Source organism: Homo sapiens, chromosome 9, assembly GCF_000001405.40.
Source record: "Homo sapiens chromosome 9, GRCh38.p14 Primary Assembly".
In the NCBI taxonomy this organism is placed as follows: Eukaryota; Metazoa; Chordata; class Mammalia; order Primates; family Hominidae; genus Homo; species Homo sapiens.
The window spans coordinates 63,028,224-63,054,652 of record NC_000009.12 but is presented as its reverse complement, the minus strand read 5'-3'; the positions used below and the strand labels follow the sequence as shown (position 1 = coordinate 63,054,652).

Here is a 26,429-nt window from a genome sequence, read left to right as displayed (position 1 = left end):
GGCCACACATCACTTGCTCACTAGACACCATCCACTCTTCCTGGACTTTATTCCAACAGCTCTTCCCTCTGTTCTCTCTCTCATCTCAAAACCTTTTGATTCCACTTCTTCCACCAAAAACTGCTTCATTTCTCTGCTTCTCTCTGCAGCAAAACCCCACAAAAGTTTTCCACAGTTGCAGCCTCCAGTTCCTCTGCTCCCATTCTCCTACATCCATGAAAATTGGTGCTTGCCAAGATCGCTGAAGGCCTCCACGCTGAAGGACTCCTCCGGTGGTCAACTCTGCCTTTACCATAGTTAACACTGCAGCGGGATCTGAACAGTGTTTCGCCTCCGTGTACAACTGGACTCCTGCGTGCCTGCAGGCTCACACTGCTTCTCCCTCTCCCTCCTAGGCACTGCTCAGGCCTCACGGCCGCAATCGCCCCATCTCGCCCATGCCAGTCTTGCTCCTCCCAGTCACTCTGCACTCACTCCCCGGCCACCTCACAGAGTTAAGTGGCATCTACATGCTGAGGGCTATACATCTAAGTCCCTGGCCAGACCTGTCTCTCCAGACTTGACACTCCGCTTGTCTGCATGATACCCAGCCGAAACAAACATCATCTTCCCAAAACTGCATCTGCAGACAGTTTCCTATCTAACCTGCAACAACCCATCCTTCCAGGAACTTCCAGTCGCCATCCTCATTTCCTCACACACCCCACATTCAGTCCACCAGGAGATCCTACTGACCCAGCTTCCAAATAAACTCTATCCGGGTTTGACTCTTTGTTTCATCTCCACTGCCAGCCCTCTGGTTTGTGCCACCGGACTGATCTCTACCGGACTGATGTCTTGGCAGAGTGATCTGATTACCTGAATGTCTCTCCTCTGCTCAAAACCCTCCAAGGACTCCCATTTCAGAGTGAAACATTCAGTCTCTTCCAATGGCCCACAAGGCTCTAGGTAATTTTAAATTGTAAATGGTGTGAAGCAGAAACTTCAGAGTTAGCCTAGTCATGCCTTTCAAAGGTCAACACAGACTAGCAACCACTAAGCTAATGCCTAATCAGGAAACAGTCCTTTGACTAGATGAAGATCTAGGATGAAACTCCGTTTCACAAATCATATACCTAATCTGTTCCAGCTTACACAGGCACTCCTGGCCTCACTAACAAGACGCAACTCAGATGCTCACCATCAACTGTACACACATTTCTGTGTCTGTCTCCTTCAGAGTGAGATCACCGCCTCCAGCAACCTGCTCAGCACCCCCAGGCAGGAGGGCCACACCATCTCCCTTTATCTCCGCATCTGACCTTATACTCCACATGTCCTTCTGAACTCTGACCAGGATGAGTTTTCAGAGCTGGGGAGTGGAGCCTGGGCCTGCGCCTCTCCGCGCCTGCGCCGCCGCTGTGCGCCTGCGCCGCCGCTGTGCGCCCGCGCCGCCGCTCTCCGCCGCGCCGCCGCTCTCCGCCGCGCCGCCGCTCTCCGCCGCGCCGCCGCCGCCCGCCTCGCCGCCGCCGCCCGCCTCTCCGCCGCGCCGCCGCCGACCGCCTCTCCGCCGCGCCGCCGCCGCCCGCCTCGCCTCCGCCGCGCCGCCGCCGACCGCCTCTCCGCCGCGCCGCCGCCGACCGCCTCTCCGCCGCGCCGCCGCCGACCGCCTCTCCGCCGCTGTCCGCTTCTCCGCCACGCCGGCACCGGCGCTGTGTGCCTTTGCAAGGGCGGAGCTGCGTTCTCCTCGGCACAGACCCGGAGAGCATTGCGAGGGCGGAGCTGCGTTCTGCTCTGCATAGACCTTGGGGCACTGCCTCGCTTTGGGACAACTCAGGGCCGCATCGACGGTGAATAAAATCCTTCCTGTTTGCAGCCATGTTTGTGGTTGGTGGCAGCGATGGAGACTGCAGCCAGCCAGTGTAGAAAGGCATTGGGGTAAGTGCGCCATCCAGGCTGCACTGCTGGTGGCCTGGGACGGGTTGGGAGCCCTATCTCAGGCGTCACTGCCCGTCTTGGGTGGCTGGTTGGGTGTGCTATCTGGGGCTGTGCTGCCTGCCCGGGGGCGGGGGGGGGGGCGGTTTGGGGGCTCAAACCGGGGCTGCACTGCTTTGGCGGGGAGCCGGTTGGGGGCACTATCCCAGACTGTATTGCTGGCAACAGTGAGGTGGGTTAAGTGTGCTATCTGGGGCTGCACTGTGTGGCTGTGGGGGGGGGGTGGCGGTTTTGGGTTGAGGGCGCTATGGGCTGCTGTAATGCCCATGGTGCGGGGAGGCGGGGCGGTTAGGGTATGTTGGGTGTGCTATTGGGGGGGGGCGACACTGCTGGTGGTAGGGGGCAGGGTGGGTTGGGGGCCATATCAGGGGCTGCACTGATTGCTTTAGCTAGGATTTCTGGTACTATGTTAAACAACAGTGGTGACAGGGGGCATCCTTATCATGTTCCAGATCTTAGAGGAAAAGCTTTCCATTTTTCCCCATTCCATATGATTCTAGCTGTGGGTGTCTTTCCTGTAGTTTTTATTATGTTGCGGTATGTTTCTTCTGTGCCTGTTTCTTTGAGGATTTATAGCATGAAGGGATGTTGAATTTCATCACATGCTTTTTTGGTTTCAGTTGACATGATCATACGGTTTTTGTCGTTTATTTGGTTGATATGATGTATCACATTGTATGTTGAGTGACTCTTGCATTCCAGGGATACATCCCAGTTGATCATGATGAATTATCTTTTTAATGTATTACTGAATTTGATTCACTGGTATTCTGTTGAGGATTTTTGCATCAATATTAGAGATCCTGTCCTGTAGTTTTCTTCTTTGATGCTTTTATCTGATTTTCGTATCACAGTAATAATGGTCTCATAGAATAAGTTTGGAAGTATTCCCTCCTGTTTTTCAAAATAATTTGAGCAGGATTTGTACTAGGTCTTTAAATTGTTTGGTGTGAAGCCATCAGCAGTGAAGACATCATCAGTTCCTGGGCTTTTCTTTACTGGGAGACTTTTTCTGATGGCTTCAATCTCATTACTTGTTACCAATCTGTTCTGGTCTTGGATGTTTTCATTGTTTAACCTAAGTAGGTTGTATGCATCTAGGAATTTGCCAATTTCTACTAGGCTTTCCAATTTATTGGCATATAATAGCCAGTTATGATCCTTTGAATTTCTGAAGTATTAGTTGTAATGTCTCCTTTTTTTAATCTGTTGATTTTATTTATTTGAATCTTGTCTCTTTTCTTAGGCTGGTTAAAAGTTTGTCAATTTTGTTTAGCTTTCCAGAAAACCAACTTTTCGTTTAATCTTGTGTGTTTTTTATTTCAATTTTGTTTCTGCTACGATCTTATTTATTTTCTTATTTTCGGTTTAGTTTGTTCTTACTTTACTAGTTCTTTAAGATGTATTGTTTATTTGAAGTTTTTCTTTTGTTTGGATGGTAGGCACTTATAGCTGTAAATCTCTGCCTTTGTACTGCTTTCTGCGTAACAAGTTTTGGTATACTGTGTTTTCATTACCCTTTGTTTCATGAAATTTTTGAATTTCTGTCTTAGTATCTTCATTGACCTTTATTTATTCAGGTCATTTATTCAGGAGGGTAGTGTTTAACTTCCATGTGATTGTATTGTTTCCAAAATTACTTTTCTTATTGATACCTAGTTTTATTTCTTTGTAGTGAAAGAAGATTGCCACGGAGACAGAGAGCAGCATGGTCAGTGTGGTAGGAGCCGGCCATCAGCGAGAGCTGCTCCATGCCTGGCTGCTGGGAGCTAGAGCCTGCGGCCCACTGGCTTGCCTCACTGTAGTTGGTGGTGGCAGTGACAGAGACTGCAGCATGACCAGAGTGGTAGGACAGGGGCTATCCAGGGCTGCACCTTTCGCAGTGTGGGGTGGGTTGGGGGCGCTATCCAGGGTGTCATTGCCTGCATTAGGGGTACTGGTTGGTAGCACTGCACAGGGCTGCACTGCCCACAGCAGGGAGGGTGGGTTATGGGTGCTTTCTGGGGCTGCAATGCCCATGGAGGAGGACAGGTTAGGGCATATCGGGTATATGCTACTGGCGGCATTGGGGGACGGAGGTGGGGGGCGCTATTGAGGGCAGGACTAGCCGTGGAGCGGGGGCGAGTTCGGTGCTATCAGGGGCTGCACTGCTGGCGGCAGTCAACAGAGTTGGCATCCAAGGAAGGAGTGGTTCTCCTCTCCCTGACTCCACACTCCAGAGGGCGAACCACTCTTGGTCATACTGGAGTGCGGCAGGGCACGCAGCGTTTGCATGGGAATCCTGAGCATGGCAGAGCCCCCACACCCACCGTGGTTCCTAAGCCTGTGCACTCTGGGTCTGTGCCTCAGAGGCTGCCAGGCACCCCTGGGGACACCACGGGGAACAGGGCCCTGTGTGTGGAGGCATCCGGAACAGGAATTGGCACCTGGGTGCGGAGGGCTGGCTGGGTCTGAATTTTTCTGCTTCTCCTGTTCCCCGAGGAGTGCAGCCCCGGTGGGCCCAGTGGTTCCTGTGGAGTGGGGAGCTGGGTGCTGTGGTGTCTCCAGCACCCACCCCAGACCCCAGTTCCCAGCCAGCTTGGGCCAAAAGGAGAGGCTGGACTTTGGAGGGTGGGTGTGAGTGCCTTTGCTGAAACTGGCCCCTGCCACCCAGTGGCCGGCACGACAACTTGAGGCTCTAACGCTTCCACTCCTCACAACTTCCTCTAGGCTTTTCTGGCTTTGCCCGCCCAGCTGCTCCATGCCAGGAGGAGGAGGAGACACCTAGAGCCTGCAACACCACGGCTCACCTCGCTGCGGGTGGGTGGCAGTGACGGAGACTGCAGTGCGCCAGAGCGGTAGGAGAGTGGCCACGCTAGGAGGGCGGGCGGCTGCAGGCAGGGTTGGGAGTCAGGCTTACAGCGATGGACGGGCTGCAGCAGTGGCCAGGTGGTAGGAGCCTTGTAGGGAGGGCTGGTGCATTGGCAATGGGCCTGGCTTTGCCCTGTGCCTGCCGTGGATCTGGCCCTGTACTGCCCTGCCTTGCCCTGTACCTGCCCTACTGTTACCTGGACTCTCAGCCCTGTCCTGCTCTGGTCCCATCCTGACCCTGTCTTGGCCCCGTGCTACCCTGTCCCTGCCCTGGTCTTGCCCTGGCACTGGCCCTGCCCTGAACCTGCACTGGCCTGACCTTGGCTCTGGCCCTGGCTCTGGCCCTGCCCCTTGTCCTGACCCTGGTCCTGTCATGGCACTGGCCCTGCCAGTGGTCATGGTCCTGCTCCTGTTCTGGCCCTGACCTGGCCTTGGAAATGTCCTGGCTCTGCTTTGGCCCATCCCTGCCCTGGCCCCACCATGGGCCTTCCTGTTCTGCCCTCTCCTGGCACTGACCTGGCCCTGTCATGGCCCAGTGGTGCCATTGCCCTGCCTTACCCTGCGCTGGTTGTGCCTTGGCCCCGCTTGGTGCTGGCCGCTTCCTGGACCTGCCCTGGACCTGCCCTGACCCTGCCTTGGCTTTTGCCCTGCCCTCACTATGGCCTGGCCCTGGCCCTGGCCCTAGCCCTGGTCCTGCCATATCCCTGACCCTGCCCTTATCCAGGCCCTGCCCCTGCTGCTGCCCTGGCCCTGGCCTGGAACCTGGTCCTGTCAAGGACCTGCCCTGACTCTGCCATGGCCCTGGCCCTGCTCTGCCTTGTTCCTGGCCCTGACCCAGACCCAGACCCTTTCCTGGCTCTGCACTGGTCTTTCCCTGGCCCTGAGCTGGCAGTGGTCTGCCCCTGGTCTTGCCATCACCCTGCCCTGCTGTGCTCTGGATGTGTCATCACCCTGCCCTGGCTCTACTCTGCCTTTGACCCTGCCCTGGCCTTGCCTTGGCCCTCACCCTAGTCTTCGCTAGGCCCAGCACAGACCTGGCTCTGACCCTGGCCCTGGTCTTTGTCCTGCCATAGCTTTGGCCCTGAAGTGGACTTGGAGGTGTCCTGGCCCCGGTGTAACATGGCTCTGCATTGGCCTGTCTCTGCCCTGCCCCTACCATCGCCTTGCCCTGCTCTGCCCTGTCCCAGTACTGACCCGGCCACGCTATTTCCCCGCCCTACCCTGCCTTGGCTGTGCCCTGGCTCGGTTCTGGCCCTGGCCCCGGCCCTGCCCTGGACATGCTCTGACACTGCCTCAGCCTTGGCACTAGCCTGGCTCATTCTTGGCATCAGCCCTGCTCTCTCTGTGGACCGGCTCTTGTCCTGTCCTGCACTGGCCATACCATGCCTTGCCCTGCCCTGCCCTGACTCAGCCCTGACTCAGCCTTGGCCTTGGCATTGCCCCTGGTCCTGCCATATTTCTTGCCCTGTCCCTACCCTAGCCTTGGCCCTGACCCTTACCTTGCTCTGGCCCTGCCCTTGCCCTAATGCAGCCCCTGGCCCTGTCATGACCCTGCCCTGGACCTGTCCTGGCCCTGGCCCTTCCCTGCTTGAGACCTTGCCCTGGTTCTCCCATGGCCCTGACCCTGAAATGCCTGGCCCTACCCTGGCCTTGCCCTGCTCTGGCCCTTGCCCTGACTCTGGTCCTGTCACTGACCTAGCCCCAGCCCTGTTGCTGGTCTTACCATGGCCCAGACCCTGCCTTGGCCCTGCCCTGACACTGTCCTGGACCCTGGCTGTGCCAAGAACCTGCACTGTCCTTGCCCTTGTTTTGCTCCTGCCCCAAACCTGGTCCTGCCCAGGCCGTTTCTATGGCCCTGGCCCTGGCCCTGCCCGGGTCTTGGCACTGGCCTGGCCCTGCCCTGCCCTGGCCCTATGCTTTCCTGGCCCTGCCTTGGCCCTAGCCTGGCTTTGACCCTGCCCTGGCCCTACCTTGGCCTTCACCCTAGCCTTACCAGGGCACTGTGTTGGACCTGGCCATAGCACAGACCTGGTTGTGGCCCTGGCCCAGACCCTAGCCCTGCAGGTACCGGTCCTGGCCCAGCTCTGGGCCTGGCTTTGTCCCTAATTCTTAGATGACCCTGGCCCTGCCCCTGCCCTTGCCCTTGCCCTGGCACTGGCCTTGGACATGTCCGTGGTCCTAACCCTGGCCCTGCCCTGGAGCTGCCACTGTCTTGGCCCTGCCCTGGCTCTGGCCCTGCCCCGGCCCTGGCCCTGCCCCGGCCCCAGCCATAGACCTGCCCTGGTTGGTCGTGCCCTACCTTAACCCTGTGCTACCCTGGGCCTGCTCCACCCTGCCCTGGCCCTGCCCTCCCTTTGGCCCTGCCCTGACCCCGTCTTGGCCCTCACACTGGCCCTAGCACAGACCTGGTCCTATCTGTGGCCTTGGCCTGGCATTGACCCCTGCTCCTGACCCTGGTCCTGCCATGGCCCTGGCCCTGCCAATGACCCTGGCAGCCCTTACCCTGGCCCTGAACTGGCCCTGCCCTGGCCCTGAAGTGGATTTGCAGGTGTCTTGTCCATGGTTTAACCTGGTCTTACCATGGCCCTGTCCCTCCCCTGGCTCTGTCCTGGTCTTATGCTGACCCTGACCCAGACCTTGGCCCTGCCACAGCCTTGTCCTAGACCTGGCCATGGCCCTGCGTCTGCCCTGGACCGGCGCTGGCACTGGCATGGACCCTGGCCCTGGCCCTTCACTACTTAAGGCCATACCCTGGCCCAGCCCTGGCCCTAATTTGGCCTGGCTCTACCCTGGCATGCTATTCTGGCCCTAGCCCTGACCCTGTCCCTGTCCCTGTACTGGTCCTAGCCCCGTTGCTGGTCCTGCCATGGCCCTTGTCCTGACATTGCCCTTTCCTGGTTCTGGCCCTGGCCCTGTCCCAGCCCTGCTCTGGCCCTGGTCTGAACCCTGGCCCTGCAATAGACCTGCCTTGGTCCTGCCCAGACCCTGGCTCTGGCCCTACCTCTGCCCTGGCCATACCCTTGCCCTGGCCTGGACCCCGGTCCTGGTCCTTGTCCTGCCCCAGCCGTGGCCCTGGCCCTGCCCTGCCTGTGCCCTGTTCTATCCTGGGCTGGCCCTGCCATGGCCTGGTCTTGCCATTGCCCTGCCCTAGCTTGCCCTGCTTGTGCCCTAGATCTGCCCCGCTTGTGCCCTAGATCTGCCCCGGCCTTTGCCCCATCTTGGTTCTAGCCTTGACTCAGCCCTGGACCTTCCCTGACCTTGCCTCAGCCCTGGCACTACCCTGGCATTGCCTTGGCATTTGCCCTACTCTCTCTATGGCCTGGCTGTGGTCCTGCCCTGCTCTGCTCTTGTTCTGTCCTGGCACAGCCCTGGCCCTGGCCCTGGCCCTGGCCCTGCCGTATCACTGGCTCTGGTCCTGCCCTTATGCAGACCTGACCCTGCCACTGCCTTGGCTTTGGCCTGGACCTTGGCCATACAGTGACCCTGCCATGACATTTTCCTGGTCCTGGCCTGGAACCTGGCCCTGCCAAGGACTCGCCCTGGCTCTGTCATGGCCCTGGCCCGTTCCTGGATTTGGATGTGTCCTGTCCCTTATTTGCCCCGGCCCTTCCCTGGCTCTGCCATACCCCTTCTCTGGGGTAGGGCCAGGGTCAGGACCAGACCAGGGCAGGGTCAGGACCAGGGTAGGGCCATGTTAAGGCCTGAAGATGGGAAGGGCCAGGGCAGCGGCTGGATCAGGGAAGGGTCAGGGCCAGGGATGTAGTAGGACTAGGGGCAGAGCCGGCACTAGGGCTGAGCCAGGGCAGAGCAGGAGAGATTACTTTAGGCTATTACTAAAATTTTTATTTTAGATTTTTAAGATAACTATAGTAGTAGTAATGTCTATACTATGTTGTTTGTAATAGTAATAATACTTGCAGTAATCACTAAATTTTAACTAATACTATCTTTGCTTCCAGTAGTGTTCTATGAGTATAATTTTATCAACATGTAAATATGTGAGGCATTGATTCTCATAATAATTCTATATGCTAGGTACTTAAAGCATCCCCATTTTCCAAATGTAGGAAACAGGCAAAAAGAAGGTAAATACTTGGCCAGATTACTCCTGTAATCCCAGCACTTTGGGAGGCCAAGGCAGGCAGATGGCTTGAGCTCAGGAGTTTGGAACCAGCCTGGGCAACATTGTGAAACCCCATCTCTACTAAAAATGCACAAAAAGAACTAATTTAAGTTTCTTGTAGGATTCTGGTTATAAAACACTGGTCAAACACACAGGGCATGGATAGGGCAGGGCCAGGGACAAGGTCAGGCCAGGAAGGGGCCAGGGCCAAGGCAGGGCCAGAGCTGGACTTGGAGGTGTCCTGGTCTGATTTGCCCTGCCCCAACGTTGGCCCAGCCCTGCTCTGGCACGTCCTGTCATGCCCTGTCCCTGGCCTGAGCATTGGCCCTGGCCCTGTCCTGCTTCTGGCCCTGCCCCGGAGTTGACCAGGCACTGCCATGGCCCAGTCCTGCATTGCCCTGCCCTCCTCTGCCCTGGTGCTACCATGGCCCTGCTTGGGCCCTAGCTCTGCCTCGACTCTGGACCTGCCCTGACTCTGCTCAGCCCTGGATCTACCCTGACTCTGCCTTGGTGTTGCCCTCCCATCTCTATGGCCTGGCTCTGGCCATGCCTTGCACAGACCATGCTCTGCCCTGCGTGCCCCAGCCTGGGCCCAGCCCTCATCCTACCATATTCCTGACCCCAGCCATACCCTTGTTCTCGCCATGACCCTGCCGTGGCCCTCTCCTGGCCCTTCCTTGATCCTGCCCTGCCCTTCCATGCCCTGGCCTTGCCCTCACCCTGCATTGGCCCTGCACTGGTCCTGCCCTGCCCTGGCACTGCCTTGGCCCCGGCCCTGCCTTCTTCCTGGCCTTGCCTTTGCCCTGCCCTGGCCTGACCCCAGGCCTACTGAGTCCATGAGATGGCCCTGGACCTGCCTTGCCATCCTCTGTCCTGGCCCTATATTGTCCCCACCATGCTCTGGTCCAGCGCTTGCCCTAGCCCTGTTGCTAGTCCTGCCACTGCTATGGCCCTGCTCTGTTTTTGGCCGTGCCCTGTGCTACCCTAGCCCTGCCCTGCCTTGGCCTTGGCCCTACCATGGCCTTCTCTTACCCTGGCCTGGCCCTACCCTGGCCTTTTCTACCCTGGCCTTGCCCTTCCCTGGTCTTGCCCTGCCCTGGCCTTGGCTTTGCCTTATCCTGGTCCTGGTTCTGCCCTGACCCTGGCCTTGCTCTGGATCCTCTCTGGTTCTGCTTTCTCCCTGGCCCTGCCCTTGCTCTGGCCCTGTCCCTGGACCAGCCTTGACCCTGACCCTGACAATCCCCAGGTCTGACACTGGCCATGCTTGGCCCTGGCCCCTCCTTTTGGCCCTGCCTTAGCCTTGTGCTATCTTAGTCCTGCCCTGGCCCTGAACTCGCCCTGGTCCTACCCTCACCCTACACTGGCCCTGCCCTATCCTGGCCTTGCCCTGCCCTGGCCCTGCCTTTGGCCTGCTCTGGCTCTGGTTCTGCCCTGGACTTGCCCTTGCCCTGGACCCTCCCTGGCCATGTTTTTCCCATGGTCCTTCTCTGGCCTTGCCCTTGCCCTGTCCCCTTTCTGGTCCTGCCATGTTTCTGGCCCTGCCCTGTCCATGTCCTGGACCTGACTCTGGCCCTGGACCTCCCTGTCCCTGCCCTGCCATACCCTGGCCCGTTCCTTGCTCTACACTGACCCTGCCCTGCCTTGGCCCTGTGCCACCCTAGCCCTGCCCTGGCCTTCTGCTGACCCTGATCCTGCCATGGCCCTGGCCCTGCCATGTCCCTGCCCTGGCCCTGGTTCTTCCCTGCATCTGGACCTGGCCTTGGTCCTCTCATGTCCCTGGCTGTGACCCTGCCCCTGGTTTTTCTCTGGCCATGACCCTGCCCCAGTTCTGTCCTATCCCTGGCCCTGTCTCAGTTCTGTCCTAGCCCTGGCCTTTCACAGTACTTTATGCTTAGTAAGGGCTCCATGGTGTCTGTGAGTTGAATGTTGTGTTCATAGTATCTGCCAAAACAGAAAGAAAAAAGTAAAATATTTTGATAAGAAGTTAAAGCTTTGTATATAATATGCCTTGAATTGTAAGTGCCTGTTATTAGTTGTATTACATATGGGTCATGGCTTTGTACACGTAACTCCAAACCATTGATACTGTTAAAAGGATATATGAATATATGAAAGAATGTATAAACGTAAGAATGTATCAGTATCTAATGACCTTTCCAAATTAATTTTTATTTTTAGCTCTATTAGATTTTTCTCAGTGTAACAAATGTTTATTCCTATGTAATTAAGGGTGTGTTTCCTGTACAGAATATTCATAATACCTAATTGAAAATTATATGATACAAAAATATAATACTATTTTTAGGCCAAGCATGGTGGCTCATACCTGTAATCCCAACATTTTGAGAGGCCAAGTTTGGAGAATCATTTGAGTCCAGGAGTTGACCAGCCTGGGCAACATAGTGAGACCTTGTCTTTATTAAATAAATAAATAAATAAATAAATAAATAAATAGGTTGGGCACTGTGGCTCATATCTGTCCTCCCAGCATTTTGGGTTGCCAATGCAGGAGGATTGCTTGAGCCCAGGAGTTTGAGACCAGCCTGGGCAGAATAGCAAGACTCCATCTCTGCAAATAATAAAATATTAACCAGGTGTGGTGGTGCGCACCTGGGGTCCCAGCTACCTGGGAGGCTAAGGTGGGAGGTTTGCTTGAGGCTTCAGTGAACTGTGAATGCACCATGCACCACTGCATTCCAGCCTAGGCCACAGAACAGGACCTTGTTTATAAATAAAGAAATAAGTAAAAATATAAATAAAAAGTAAAAATAACTATAAGTAAATATAAATATAAAAATGCATACATGAAAAGAAACAATTTTTAAATTTAACATCACTGAGGGCATCCTATCCATTTCATTTCATGATTCCATTACATCATTTCACTTAGATGAAATGATGACTTGAGATGAAATGATGAGATGAAATGACGAAATGATGAGATGAGATGATGAGATGAAATTTTGAGATGAAATGGTGAGTAGAAATGATGAGATGAAATGATGAGACGAAATGACAAAATTGAAAAGAAATTGAAAGGAGAGGAGATGAGATAAAATGAGATGAAATGAGATGATGGATGAAATGAGATGAAACGAGATGAAATGAAATAATGAAATGATATGAAATAATGAAATTGAAATGAGATGATATGAGATGAAATAATGAGATAAAATGATGAGATGAGATGAACGATGAGATGAAATGATGAAATGAAATGAGATGAAAAATGATGAGATGAAAAATGAGATGAAATGAAATAATGAAATGAGATGAAATGAAATGAAATAATGAAAGGAAATTATGAAATGTAATGATGAAATTGAAATGAGATGAGTTGAAATGATGAGATGTAATGGTGAAATGAAATGAGGAAATGAGATGAGATGAAATGAGATGAAATAATGAGATGAAATGAGATAATGAGATGAGATGAAATCATGAGATGAAATGATGAAATGAAATGATGGATGAAATTATGAGATGAAAGATGAAATGTAATGAGATGAAATGAAATGACATAATGAAATGAAATAATGAAATGAGATGAAATAAAATAATGAAATGATGAAATAATGAAATGAAAATGAAATGGAAATGATGAGATGAGAAGAAATGATGAGATGAAATGATGAAATGATGAGATGAGATAAAATGAGATGAAATGATGAGATGAGATGAAATATGATGAGATGAAATGACATAATGAATGAAATGATGAAATGGAATAATGAAATGGAAATGATGAGCTGAGATGCAATGAGTTGAAATGAGATGAAATGATGAAATGAGATGAAATGATGAGATGAGATGTGATGAAATGATGACATGAAATGATGACATAAAATGAGATGAAATGAGATGTAATGATGGAATGAGATGAGATGAAATGAGATGAAATAGATGAGATAAAATGATGATATGAAATGATGAGATGAATGATGAGATGAGATGAATGATGAAATGAAATGATGAGATGAGATGATGAAATGAAATGGTGAGATGAAATGATGAGATGAAATGAAATAGTGAAATGAAATTGAAATAAAATCGAAATGAGATGAAATGATGAGATGATGAAATAAAATGATGAAATGATGAGATGTGATGAGATGAAATGATGAGATGAAATGATGAGATGAGATGACATGAAATAATGAAATGAAATTGAAATGAGATAAGATACGAGATGAGATGAAATGATGAGATGAAATGATGAAATGATGAGATAAGATGAAAAGGGTTGAGATGATGAGATGAAATGAGATGAAAAGATGAAATGATGAGATGAAATGAAATGATGAGATGAAATGAGGTGAAATGAAATTAGATGAAATGTAATGAGATGAAATGAAATGACATAATGAAATGAAATAATGAAATGAGATGAAATAAAATAATGAAATGATGAAATAATGAAATGAAAATGAAATGGAAATGAGATGAGAAGAAATGATGAGATGAAATGATGAGATAAAATGAGATGAAATGATGAGATGAGATGAAATATGATGAGATGAAATGACATAATGAATGAAATGATGAAATGGAATAATGAAATGGAAATGATGAGCTGAGATGCAATGAGTTGAAATGAGATGAAATGATGAAATGATGAGATGAGATGTGATGAAATGACATGAAATGATGACATAAAATGAGATGAAATGAGATGTAATGATGGAATGAGATGAGATGAGATGAAATGATAGATGAGATAAAATGATGATATGAAATGATGAGATGAATGATGAGATGATGAGATGAATGATGAAATGAAATGATGAGATGATGAAATGGTGAGATGAAATGATGAGATGAAATAGTGAAATTGAAATAAAATCGAAATGAGATGAAATGATGAGATGATGAAATAAAATGATGAAATGATGAGATGTGATGAGATGAAATGATGACATGAAATGATGAGATGAGATGAGATGACATGAAATAATGAAATGAAATTGAAATGAAATAAGATACGAGATGAGATGAAATGATGAGATGAAATGATGAAATGATGAGATAAGATGAAAAGGGTTGAGATGATGAGATGAAATGAGATGAAAAGATGAAATGAGATGAAATGAAATGATGAGATGAAATGAGGTGAAATGAAATTAGAGGAAATGTAATGAGATGAAATGAAATGACATGAAATGAAATAATGAAATGAGATGAAATAAAATAATGAAATGATGAAATAATGAAATGAAAATGAAATGGAAATGATGAGATGAGAAGAAATGATGAGATGAAATGATGAAATGATGAGATGAGATAAAATGAGATGAAATGATGAGATGAGATGAAATATGAGATGAAATGACATAATGAATGAAATGATGAAATGGAATAATGAAATGGAAATGATGAGCTGAGATGCAATGAGTTGAAATGAGATGAAATGATGAAATGATGAGATGAAATGATGAGATGAGATGTGATGAAATGACATGAAATGATGACATAAAATGAGATGAAATGAGATGTAATGATGGAATGAGATGAGATGGAATGAGATGAGATGAAATGAGATGAAATGATAGATGAGATAAAATGATATGAAATGATGAGATGAATGATGAGATGATGAGATGAATGATGAAATGAAATGATGAGATGAGATGATGAAATGAAATGGTGAGATGAAATGATGAGATGAAATGAAATAGTGAAATGAAATTGAAATCGAAATGAGAGATGAAATGATGAGATGATGAAATAAAATGATGAAATGATGAGATGTGATGAGATGAAATGATGAGATGAAATGATGAGATGAGATGAGATGACATGAAATAATGAAATGAAATTGAAATGAGATAAGATACGAGATGAGATGAAATGATGAGATGAAATGATGAAATGATGAGATAAGATGAAAAGAGTTGATGAGATGATGAGATGAAATGAGATGAAAAGATGAAATGATGAGATGAAATGAAATGATGAGATGAAATGAGGTGAAATGAAATTAGATGAAATGTAATGAGATGAAATGAAATGACATAATGAAATGAAATAATGAAATGAGATGAAATAAAATAATGAAATGATGAAATAATGAAAATGAAATGGAAATGATGAGATAAGAAATGATGAGATGAAATGATGAAATGAGATGAGATAAAATGAGATGAAATGATGAGATGAGATGAAATATGAGATGAAATGACATAATGAATGAAATGATGAAACGGAATAATGAAATGGAAATGATGAGCTGAGATGCAATGAGTTGAAATGAGATGAAATGATGAAATGATGAGATGAAATGATGAGATGAGATGTGATGAAATGATGACATGAAATGATGACATAAAATGAGATGAAATGAGATGTAATGATGGAATGAGATGAGATGAAATGAGATGAAATGATAGATGAGATAAAATGATGATATGAAATGAGATGAATGATGAGATGATGAGATGAATGATGAAATGAAATGATGAGATGAGATGATGAAATGAAATGGTGAGATGAAATGATGAGATGAAATGAAATAGTGAAATGAAATTGAAATAAAATCGAGATGAGATGAAATGATGAGATGATGAAATAAAATGATGAAATGATGAGGTGATGAGATGAAATGATGAGATGAAATGATGAGATGAGATGAGATGACATGAAATAATGAAACGAAATTGAAATGAGATAAGATACGAGATGAGATGAAATGATGAGATGAAATGAAATGATGAGATAAGATGAAAAGAGTTGATGAGATGATGAGATGAAATGAGATGAAAAGATGAAATGATGAGATGAAATGAAATGATGAGATGAAATGAGGTGAAATGAAATTAGATGAAATGTAATGAGATGAAATGAAATGACAATGAAATGAAAAAATGAAATAATGAAATGAGGTGAAATTAAATGAGATGATGAAATTAAATGATGAAATGAAATAATGAAATGGAAATGAGATGAAATGAGATGAATGATGAGATGAAATGATGAGATGCAATGATGAGATGAAATGATAAGATGAGATGAGATGTAATGATGAGAGGAAATGAGATGTAATGAAATGAGATGAAATGAATGAGATGAAATGAAATAATGAAAGGAAATTGAATTGAGATATGAGATGAAATGAGATAAAATGAGATGAAATAAATGATGAGATGAAATGATGAAATGCTGAGGTGAGATGAAACGATGAGATGAAATGAAAGGATGAGATGAAATGATGAGGTGAGATGAGATGAAATGAGATGAAACGAGATGAAATGATGAAATGAGATGAGATGAGAAGAAATGATTTGATGCAATGAGATGAGATAAAGTGATGAGATGAAATGAAATGAAGTGAAATGAAATAATGAAATGAAATTGAAATGAGATGAGATGAAATGAGATAAAATGAGATGAAATGAGAAGAAATGAGATGAAATGATGAAATGAGATGATGAGATGAAAAATGATGAGATGAATTGAAATGAAATGAAATAATGAAATAATGAAGTGAAATGAAATGATGAATTGATATTGAAATGAAATTGAAAGATGAGATGAAATGATGAGATGAAATGAAATGTTGAAATGATGAAGAGATGTGACATGAAATGAGCTGAAATGAGATGAAATGAAATGAGATTAAATGATGAGATGAAAAATGATGAGATGAAAAATGATGAGATGAAATGATGAGATGAGATGAGATGAATTGAGATGAGATGAGATGAAATAATGAAATTAGGTGAAATAATGAAATGAGATGAAATAACGAAATAAAATTGAAATGAGATGAGAGGAAATGAGATGAAATGTTGAAAAGAAAGGAGGAAATGATGAGGTGAGATGAAATGATGAGATGAAATTGAGATGAAATGTGATGAAAAATGATACGAAAAATGATATAAAAATATGACATGAAATGAAATGAGATGATATGAAATGACATAATGAAATAAATGAAATTACATGAAATGAAATAGTGAAATGAAATGATGAAATAATGAAAATGAAATGGAAATGAGATGAGATGAGATTTGATGAAATGATGAGATGAAATGATGAGATGATATGAAATGATGAGATGAGATGGGATAAGATGAAATGAGATGAAATGATGAGGTGAAGTGATGCACTGTCACGTGTGTATCTTTTTCCCAACCAACAAAAATTATAATTCATTAATTTTATTATTTAAGAATATTCTTAAGAGTTGAAGGAAAAATAATATCTGTACATTATGGGTTACAATTAAGTATAAATAATACATAAATATATTAAAACTTACAAAGAATATGTTTCGGAATCGAATATACCATGCTTCTGTGATGACAGTTATTTCATGCTGGTTGTCACAATTTTACATGAAAAACTAATGAAACAATGTTTTTAACTGTTTCTAAAAATAACAGTTTCCAAAACAGTTTTACATTCAAAATATGAAAAAGATGTCTTTGTGTTCCTTAATCTGATGAGATTTTCACACTCTGCACATGATAATTGTTAGATTTTTATTGTGTTGATAAATTGTATATCAAATAAAAAATGTTATTACCTCTTAAATTAGGATTTTTAGGTGATACAGGCAGAAAGGAAGGCAAGTTTTTATAACTTTGTCTAAATGAACTTTCTAAATGCCTGAGTATTAAAAGATAGCATGTCTATAAATGACAATGTATATATTACTGTATGACCTAGGACCAATCAAAACCGTTACCTCTGATAACATTATATTGTGCCCAGTATAAAATAGATATAATAATACCTCAAACTTAAATCCAGGCATTGTCATTGAATATGTTAAGAATATGCAGCAAAGGTGCTTTTAAAAATACAAGCTAGTGATTGTACTAAATTTGTAAATCACATAGGATAGTGGGTCATTTTAAGAATATTATTTCAATCTATAAACGTGGATGTCTTTGCTTTTTTATGTTTTCTTTAATTTCTTTCATTAATATTTGTCATTTTTGTTGTCGAAATCTTTTACTTGGTTAAATTTATTTCTAAGTACATTTTTGTAGCTATTGTAAAAGGAATTGCTTTCTTAATTTCTTGTTTCAGCTAGTTTACTATCAATATATAGAAATGCTACTGATTTTTGTATGTTGATTTATATCCTGCAACTTTATTAATTTCATGTATCACCCTGAGAAGCTTTTGGTAGAGTCTTATTTTTTTCCATGTATAAGATCACGTTGTCTTTAAACAAGGACAATTTGACTGTCTCCTTTCCAATTCAGATGTCCTTTATTTCTTTCTCTCACCTAATTGTCCTGGCTAAGACTTTCACTATGTGAAATATGATTGGTGAGAATAGGCATCCTTTTCTTGTTCCAGTAAAATCTTTTTCTTGTTCACAGTAAAATCTTTCACCTTTTCCACACTCAGTATGATCTTAGCTGTAGATTTGTCCTTTATGTCCTTTGTGTTAAGGCATATATTTTCTATACTAAATTGTTGAGAAGTTTTTTGTCATGTAAGAATATTTAATTTTGCCAAACGCTTTTATTGTGTTTATTAATTTAATCATATGGTTTTCAGTATATATCCAAAGGAAAGAAAATCAGTATATCAAAGAGTTACCTGCACCCCCATGTTTATTACAGCACTATTCACAATAGCCAAGATATGGAATCAACAAAAGTGTCCATCAACAGATGAATGGATAAAGAAATGTGACATACATATATAATGGAATATTATTTAGTCATAATAAAGAACAAAATCCTGTTGTTTGTGGCAACAAGAATGCAAGTGGAGGGCATTATGTTAGGTGAAATAAGCCTGGCATAGAAATATAAACACCACATAACTACGTGTTCTCACTTATGTATGGAAGCTAAAATTTTTAATCTCGTAGAAGTAGATAGTAGAGTTTTGGTTACCATATCCTGGAAAGAGTAGGAGAAAGAAGAGTATAAGAAAAATGTGCTTAATACATACAAAATTACAGCTGGAGAGAAGGAAGAAGTTCTAGTTCTCTACAGCACTGTTGGGTGACTGTAGTTAATGGGAATTTATTGTGTGTTTTCAAATAACTAAAAGAAAAGATTTTGAATATTCTCACTGCAAAGAAATAATACATGATTTAGGTAATGGATATGATAATGACTCTGACTTGATCTTTACGCATTGCATAAATATATCAAAATATCACTCTGTACCCCATAACATGTACATTTATTGTATGTCAATTAAAGTAAATTTAAAAGAGAAAAAATGAGGTAAAGGTAAATGTACAGAATTTAATTACTTTTTCTTCTATAAAACCCGAGTCAGTACCAAGAAGAGTCAATTTATTAGTTTTCTAAAATAAAAAAAATCAAAATCACCAAAAAAGAGCAATATCCAAGAAAACATTGAAAAGGAAACACAACATTTAGTAAGAATAGAAAACTTGGGCACTGTATCACCCTGTTCCTAGATACCGATTTACTGATGGCCATTTAAATAGAATTTTATTCTATCTAATTCATTTATACTCCCAGAGTTTGAAATTACATTTTACCTACAATAAATGAGATAACACTTGTAAATTATATGGTACTCTGCCTAACACACGTTAATAACTCAATAGATGTTAGCAATAAACTTTTAGTATAGTAGTCAAAGTATTAATTTCTCACATTGCAATTTCCTTCAAAGACATAAATACAACCTTTCTAATGACTCCTTGTTCATCAAGATACCTCTTCAAATTATTCTATTTGTTTCATTCAGTATATTATCTGTGTATACCGATATTACACTCTTTTCTTTTCTTGAGATGGAATCTCATTCTGTTACTGATGCTGGAGTGAGGTGGCATGATCTCGGTTCACTGCAACCTCCACCTCCCAGGTTCAAGCGATTCTCCTGTCTCAGCCCCCCAAGTAGCTAGGACTACAGGTGCACACCACCATGCCTGGCTAATTTTTGTATTTTTAGTACAGTCAGAGTTTCACCCTGTTGTCCAGGCCGGACTCGAACTCCTGACCTCAGGTGATCCACCCACCATGGCCTCCCAAAGTGCTGGGATTACAGGCATAAGCCACCGCACCCAGCCTGATATTGCACTCTTGGATTTTGAACACTGAATATCTTTTTGAAAGATTACACCTCTTTACCTCTTCGTGCTTCAGAAATTATTTTCCTTCAAGTGTTCTAAGAGGCTAATGAAGAATGAAGTCATGTTTTATCACTTTTGTCCTTAAAGATTTCAGACATGCTGAAACTGATTGAAGTATCATTTGCTACCAGATAGATTAGTTATCTCTAGTTGTAGGAGTGGATACATCTTTAATGGTATATTTTGGTTTATTGTCTTATTTTTGATGTAGTATTCTATCAATAATTTATTAAACCTGGCATCCTTGAGTGAGCATGGATTTTTCAACTTTGGTGTTATATTGTGTTTGCTTTTAAAAACTGCTTTTGAGGCCAGGTATGGTGGCTCTTGCCCATACCCAGCACTCTGGGAGGCCAAGGTGGGCGGATTACCTCAGGTCAGGAGTTCAAGACCAGCCTGGTCAACATGGCAAAACCATGTCTCTACTAAAAACACAAAATTAGCCAGGCATGGTGGTGCATGCTTGTAGTCCTAACCACTCGAGAGGCTGAGGCAAGAGAATCACCTGAACCTGGGAGGCAAAATTTGCTAGGTTGCTGTGAGCCAAATTCGCATCATTGCCCTCCAGCCTGGGTGAAAAGAGCAAAACTCTGTCTCAAAATAAAAAAAAAAAAAACGACCAAAAACTGCTTTTGAATGGAGTTGTACATACAATTTTGATGAAAAAAATTATCAAGTGCATAAGTTCATAATAGAAAAACCAATAATACTCCAGGCACAAGTTAGTACTAAAAAAATTATGTTGAATATGCTCTAATACAACATGCTTTTTCCCTTCATGAACAATTTGTGTTTTACTGAGAAGAGTCATTGTTTATGGTAGACATTAGACTACAGATGAATATGCACTTTAAACACTCTTAGTTGCTTTCTTAATTTTATATCTGCTGCTTTATGCTTCTGTTTATTTTCATTCTTTCCAATGTCCACATTCTAGTAAATTTGAATATTTTAATCCAAGTTTATATACTATTTAATATTGCTTGTATAGTTTAGTATTGTTAAGACTCAAAAAGGTTTACAGAAAGAAGAAAAAGATCAACATGTTATTAATCATTTAAAGATCATTTTGAAATCTTTGACCTTTATATTTTAATGAATAAAATATTAGTAGTTATTAGTATAAAATAATTTATGTCTTTTGGACTTAGCATCCAGTATTTCTTTTTTAATAAAGAAAATAATTATTCTCTTGCAATATACTATGTTTACCTGGGTTTTGAAAAGTGATGTTTCCTAATATGAGAAAGCCATTTACATTTTTAAATCTACAAAGGCAAATGGAATGGTACTAAATTATTTATATAATAATGTTTAGATGGTGGCCCTTATAACATTCTTTCTATACTTCCTACAGAGTTGGGGATATGCAATCCTGGAATATTTCTGGGAGCTAATCCTTTAGCTTGATGAACGAAACAAGACTTTTAAATAAAATTAAACTTTCAAATTATCCAGGTAATGGGCCTGTCTTTTAATTCAATGGATATGGAGCATAATGAATTATCCCCTGTTCATTGGGTAATAAGTTCTCATTCTTAATTTATAATACTCAAAATATCCTTTAATTTTTAATTTTTGATAGTCATATCATTATCCCTAGGTATTTTAGCTTCTATCTTAAATTCTAAAATAATTTTGAGACAGGAGAAAGTATTCTTTATTACTATATGTATTAAACATCATGGTTTTCAAATTTAACTGCAAATGTATCTTTTCATTGCTTCTTGGTGACGCCCTTCACCCTATCCATATTGTCACTACCAAGTGGTGATTACTTTTCAGGTTCACATACTTATTCTTTAGAAAAATCTTCTCTGTGCCTTATAAAGAATATGATTGTTGGCATTGAAAAGCCAGTGAAATATACATTATTAGCCTGTTGCCTAACTCATTTATTTAAGAAACTACACTAATTACCCACATACTTATGTTTTTATTTACTCATTATTTCTGGAGAAAACAAATACTGCTAACATGATATTTGTAAGAGAGAAAAAAGTCTTTTCTTGAAAAGTGCTGTCATTGTAGTACTAACTTATAGTATCAACTTCTTTATCAACTCCTTATACACTTTTTATTCTGAGAGAAATAAAAAAGCTAAAAGTGAAATGACTTTGTAACTCTCCATATTATAAGCACCCATCTTGGTAATTTAGGGTCTTTATAGTTAGGGTAAGTTGTGTCATACCGAGGTTACAAAATAAAAAGTATTTTGTCTCTTTGGGCCTTTCCTTATTCAGTAATACTGTCAGTTTGGCTTTTTTTGTAGGTCAACTTATTGAACTCAGTATTCTGAAATAATGTGTTTACTATCTTTTGATAAGCATTTAAAATATTAGATTTATTGTTACTCGTCTGCCTTCATTGGGCTGGAAGAATAATTGTTTCACTCCACAAAAGCCAAGTTGCAGAGAAAAACACATAGACATTCAACTGCAAAGCAGAGAAACTTGACTATTTTCTGCAATTTTAAAGTGTATATTGAATAAAACCATCTTTTTATTTTCTTTTTTGCTCACTGGCAACTATTAACAACATCAAGTGCGTTATTATAATGTTATCTAGTTAAAAATCTCAAAAAGTTTTCATAATTACCATTTAAAAATATATAAATAAGTGACCTAATGTTAATTTTTATTGTCTGAGACCATGTCTGTTATTTCACTCTTTAAATTCAGTTAGTAATGCAGAACCTAGCACTTAGTAGATACTCAAAAATTATTTGCTGAATAAAAAAAGGTTAAACATGTAATATACACAAAATGTACTGGAAAAAATGCACCAAACAATTTTGTTATACCAGTTTAATGTAAATATTGTCTTTAAAAGATAATATAGTTTTCAGGTGTCTACAGTGATTTTGTAATATTTGTGCACATATAAAGTAATATTTCCAAAAATGTAATCCAGTGGGGAAATATACTTTCTAAATTCTAGATTTATAATTTAGGGTTTAAATTATAAAATCATTAAATAAGACACAAGTGAAATATAGTCAAATATCCCCTTGGAAAAAAATTAAGTGGCCTCTAAAGTGAGGTATTCATATATGTAATTTTACAATCCTCTAGTGATAGAATTAATTAAATATGCCACCAAATTGATTAATTCCTACAGTGTTAAAAGAGAAGCACTAACAATGCCAGTGACCATGTAACATGGATTTAAGCTACAAGTCATAGAAATGTGATGAGAAGCCTCAGCACTGTAAAACCGAGGGTGGAGGAAAGCTTTTCCTCTCTCAAATGAGCTTTGCGAGGTATACTTCTTGAAGGATAGGAAGTTGAAGTGTTCAGGACTTTTATGTCTATTCTACTTTGGCTTAGTTTACATGATTCTTAGTTTATTAGCCTAGAAATGGCCAAGAAAACTTAAGGCTCAATATTTAGTTATAAATATGAAATATCCCCAATTTTTAAGATAAAAACAACTTATAAATGTATTTGTCTGTAAAAATTGTGTATATTTTTACAGAACATCTATTTCTTTCTTTATTTTTTTATTTTTTTTATACTTTAAATTCTAGGGTACACATGAACAATGTGCAGGTTTGTTGCATATGTATACGTGTGCCATGTTGGTGTGCTGCACCCATTAACTCATCATTTATGTTAGGCATATCTCCTAATGCTATCTCTCCCCCCTCCCCCCACCCCACAACAGGCCCTGGTGTGTGATGTTCCCCTTCCTGTGTCCAAGTGTTCTCATTGTTCAATTCCCACCTATGAGTGAGAACATGCGGTGTTTGGTTTTTTGTCCTTGCGATAGTTTGCTGAGAATGATGGTTTCCAGCTTCATCCATGTCCCTAGTAAGGACATGAACTCATCATTTTTTATGGCTGCATAGTATTCCATGGTGTATAATGAACCTGAAACGGGAAAGGGCGAGATTAACTAAGCCTGTTTGCCATGGACAGCAATGGGGTTGCTAGAAGATTAGCTGTGTGGAAAAATTATGCATTTACCTTTGGGCATAATAAAATGCAATTGACTCTCCATATTCATGGGTTCTGCATCCACTGATTCAAACAACTGTGGAACAAAATTGTCAGAAAAAACAATACAACGATAAAAAATGATACAAATAAAAAACAACATGGTATACCAACTATTTACGTAGCATTTACATCGTATTAATTGTTATTAAGTAATCTAGAGATTATTTAAAGTATATAGGAGGATGTGTGTAGGTTATATGCAAATACTACACTATTTTATACCAGTAACTTGAGCATCCATGGATTTTGGTATACAAGGGGGATCCTGGAACCAATTCCCCATGAATATCAAAGGATGACTGTATGAGTTATCTGTAAAATGGTTTGGTTGAAATGTTTAGAAAACAGCTAGAAATACAAGACTGGCTGTTGGATGAAAAAAACATAGGACTAGGAAATTCAGGTATGCTAGTCTTTTTGAGTATTGCTTAAAGCCATGGGAAAAGAGCTCTCTGTGAGTTCCAAGACAGATGCAAGGACTGGCATTCATGCACAGCTTCTAACAGATAAATCTGAAGAGTTCTTAGTATGCATGTTGACTGAAATTACTTTAGAAGTAATTTTTCTCCTGGTGATAAAAGGCATGTAAGGCTATTTTAGGAAATTGAAAAATGCAAAAAGGTATAAAGAAAAAGAAAAGATAATCATTAATAGTACGTTAGTAAACAAGACTTGACTAAAGATACGACTTTCCTCCCGCTTGTTTTCTTATGCATATAAAGGGATAGGAAATATGTATGTATGTATGTGTGTGTATAGGATCATGCACTGTATATAGCTTGCTTCTTTTTCCATTATGATAATTTTCCCATGTCATGAATTACGGCTTGCAAGTGCTTATTCTTAAAGGGCTGCATTATTTTTCATTATTTGGATTTATTGTTATTTAATTGGAGCTCTATTATTGAACATTTAGATTGCTTCCAAAATTTTTTGCTCTTGTTAATATATTGTAATAAACTTCTGTGAAACACATACTCTTCACCTGCTACTTACATATGACTTCTGTAAGCAGAGACCTCTGTATCCCCAGGACCTAGAAGGTTACCCAGACATAGTAGTTGCTTAATTAAAAAAAATTATTGATTGAATGAAAGAAGACTATTAAATGTTCAGTTCTTCTTTTTTTATTCTGATTCCCTGTGTATCCAGGGGCCTCTTATTTGGCTGCATATATGAGTTTGGCTGTAATGAAAGTATTGGCCGTATATGACCATAAACAGGCATTCCTATTTCTGTCACAGTTATATTTGTCATTCTGTATTAATACATCTATATCCTGATTTCTATTGAAGCATGGTTAATTTTGTTTGCTTCTAAGCAATGTAGCTACCCTGTTGATGCTGATAAAAATAAATTTCTGAACCTATAAGACTGAGGATTGGGCCTAGGTTGTAGTAAATTGGCAAGATAATGGATGCTACCCTGTCAAGAGTCCTCTGAAGAGAAAAGTCTGCCACCCTTCACCAGGTAGAAACTCCAGGCAGTGCCACATTTTCCAGTTTGACGCCCTGTGATACCCTGAAAAGACAGATGTTTGACTCTTTTCAAATAATATTTTAACATATTTTAAGACGCAAAGGCATTGTGTCGGACTTTTTTCTTAAGAATATATTTCATTACCACTCAGAAGTTAGCTTCCAAAAGAAATAAGTGTGTGCAAAGGTTTATGATAGTGGTGTAGAGAAGTTTTTAAAATAAATGTGCATCTTTTATGGTAATAAAAGTACATTACGAAGAATTTTTTAGGTCCAGTTCACAGATTCCTTGTGCCTGGGGAAAACTTTATTAGAAAATTAGATAATTTCTAATTTGATTAGGGGAAGTCTAATGGGAAAACTTTTTAACTGAGTGGTCCAATTTGAAACATGAATATCTGTGCTGGAAGCTTCTATTGAACTTTACTTAAGTCACATCTGAGCCCCTCTGCCTGTCAGTCCACCATTACCCTAACAGTGGTAGAAATTCTTTATATGACACCTAGATCTTTTTTTGTTGCACTTTTAAGCTGTGTAGGAAACACACTGCCCACATGTTCATACAACACAGAGTGATTATCCACTTAGTTCCTAAAAAGTTGTGTTTGGTTATGGGATTTGATCCCACTTGTCCAGGGTTTAGGTCAGCTACTGAAGATTAGGATATCTGGGTACCTCTTACTGGAGAATCCATTCCTGTTTTCATTTCATTCCTGGGGGCAATATTCAATCTGGTGTGGCCCTCTGTATTATAAAATGTTTCCCAGATTGTGTTTATCTGAAATACAAATCCAAGAAGAAGCATGGTGTTAATTGCCATGTAAAAAAGATTCCAGAGTCAAGAGCTTGAGAAGTTCTATTCCTTCCTTCATAGGTTCAGTTGTTTAACCCAGCATTTTTCAAACATATTTTACTCCTAGAAC

The 26,429-nt window shown here is 42.3% G+C and overlaps 1 protein-coding gene and 1 long non-coding RNA gene across 3 annotated transcripts, besides 1 other annotated feature; both read left to right on the top strand.

The window, feature by feature from the left end:
- The first annotated feature begins 1,442 nt into the window (after nt 1-1,442).
- Nucleotides 1,443-6,659, top strand: LOC107987003 (uncharacterized). Of its 2 annotated transcripts, none has more exons than XR_001746486.3 (3): nt 1,443-1,917; nt 3,650-3,820; nt 4,684-6,659. It is a non-coding gene; the product is annotated as an uncharacterized LOC107987003 (long non-coding RNA). The 2 variants fall into 2 exon arrangements; XR_007061525.1 differs by lacking the exon at nt 1,443-1,917 and adding an exon at nt 2,369-2,511.
- Nucleotides 6,660-8,568: 1,909 nt separating this feature from the next.
- On the top strand, nt 8,569-10,240 carry LOC107987004 (coiled-coil domain-containing protein 86-like). Its single transcript, XM_024447725.2, has one exon. The coding sequence runs from the start codon at nt 9,592-9,594 to the stop codon at nt 10,084-10,086; it is 495 nt and encodes a 164-aa protein (XP_024303493.1). The 5' UTR covers nt 8,569-9,591; the 3' UTR covers nt 10,087-10,240.
- Nucleotides 8,879-9,378: an enhancer, noted in NCBI's record as "OCT4-H3K4me1 hESC enhancer chr9:66950247-66950746 (GRCh37/hg19 assembly coordinates)". NCBI's record gives its function as "activates a minimal SCP1, AML or CMV promoter by ChIP-STARR-seq in primed H9 embryonic stem cells {active_cell/tissue: H9 hESC(primed)}" and the evidence as "EXISTENCE:reporter gene assay evidence [ECO:0000049][PMID:30033119]".
- Nucleotides 10,241-26,429: the final 16,189 nt, after the last annotated feature.